This window comes from Homo sapiens, chromosome 21 (genome assembly GCF_000001405.40).
Source record: "Homo sapiens chromosome 21, GRCh38.p14 Primary Assembly".
Classification (NCBI taxonomy): domain Eukaryota; kingdom Metazoa; phylum Chordata; class Mammalia; order Primates; family Hominidae; genus Homo; species Homo sapiens.
Window position 1 is genome coordinate 19,853,291 of NC_000021.9, and position 1,645 is coordinate 19,854,935.

The 1,645-nt window shown below is 54.2% G+C and overlaps 1 annotated feature.

Moving 5' to 3' along the window:
• Positions 470-970: an enhancer, noted in NCBI's record as "H3K4me1 hESC enhancer chr21:21226074-21226574 (GRCh37/hg19 assembly coordinates)". NCBI's record gives its function as "activates a minimal SCP1, AML or CMV promoter by ChIP-STARR-seq in naive H9 embryonic stem cells {active_cell/tissue: H9 hESC(naive)}" and the evidence as "EXISTENCE:reporter gene assay evidence [ECO:0000049][PMID:30033119]".

Consider the following 1,645-nt stretch of genomic DNA (forward strand, 5'->3'; position numbering starts at 1 on the left):
ACAGCCAGGCACGCCAGCTATGGCGGGGCAGGCAACTCCAGGTGCTGGCATCGGTGCTGGCTCCTTGCTGCGGCTGGACCAGACATACCACAAGCACCTTGCACTGCAGGCATTGGGCAACACTGTTGGACCCTGAAGCTTGGATATATCAGGAACTGCAGAACCCCAAAGAGGGTGTCACAGCCCTGGCTTCGGGAGCTCCTAAGTCTGGCTCCCCGAAGGAATGCAGCTCTTCTCACCTTCTCTCTTCTGATCGCCTGCAACATGGCAAGAGGTGGGGAGAGGGACGTGTTTCAGCCCTCTGTGTTACAACTCTTCCTGTCTCACCATTTGGGGGGTCTCGCCTTCTTGTTCTGCGTCCAAGAATGAGGTACACGGACAACTAGAGAGTGAGGAAGGAAAAGAGGTGCTTTACTGAGTGACAATATAGCTCTCAGGGGACCCGAAGTGGGTAGCTCCTTTCCCCAGGCAGCTCGTCCCGACAGTGTCCAGCCTTTAGTGGAGGGGAGACTCACAGTGAGTAGCAGGCAGGTTGTCCTGTAGTTCACGGGCAGCTATTGGTGGGCCGGAAAATCCATCATAAGTTCTCACTCCGGTCTGCAGAACTGACAGCCCAGTCCCCAGGCTTCAGACTGGCCCAGCCTTGAAGGTGGGGCTTCACTGGGGACCCGCCCCTTTCTGCCCAGGAGCTGTCTCCTGCTGCCATCAACCTACTGCTACGTTGCCTACAGTGCCCAGGCTGTTCATGCCAAGCGCCAACTGCAGGCCCATGCCAAGCTGCCCTTATCCCCACCTCGGCCTCCCTCCCATGCTCCTTGGTGCCCAAAGTCCAAAAGGGGCAGAGGTAGCAGGGAGCTGGTGTGTCAGTGCTGTCCTGAGTGCAAGCACACCTAGAGGGGTTGCGACAGAGCCTGGGCTTGACTTTAACTTTGCTCTGAAATCAGAGAGGACCCCGGGAGTGGGGAGAGGCCAGGCAGTGGGAGCAGGTACTTCCAAGCCTGCAGGGTCAGAGGAGCTTCCCAGGCCCTTGAGTTGATAGGAATGCCTGGGTCCGCAGCCAAGCTTGGATGGCTGCAGCTGCGTCCTGGAGGGCGGGGCTCTCGCCCCTTTAACTCAGAAGCGGGTGTGGCTCCCACTTGTTACCCGCTCCCCCTGGCTCCCTGGAGTGCAGAGCCCCGGCCACGCCTTCCCTGCTGAAGTCAGCGTCTTTGAAGCAGATGGGCTGCTGCTGCCATAAATTCCTCTTCTGAAACGGTACATCCAACTGCCATTAGGGATGAAGATGATGATCGCTCTTAACTGCTGACAGGGGGCATTATTTTGGAGAAAACAGCAGTTAGATCTTTCTCAGAGGCCTATCTAAGGGTCCTCAGTAAAAAGGGAGCCAAGGCTCAAGTTGTGTGACTCCTTGAAGTTTGATGGTCTCTAGATGAGAAGAAACAAAATTTACCAGGAGGTTAAGCATGTGAAGGAAAAAAAATCTAGTGTCAACAATAACAGAAATAAGAAGTAAAACAGACTAATTCTTAAAACAATGTTGTGGCTAGAGCTGTCTCATCCTGGTGAAAGAAACTGAATCTTGTATGAGGGCCGGTAAACTTTAAAAGAGAAATAACTTTTAGGGGAGTAGGTAATCCTCTGGGAG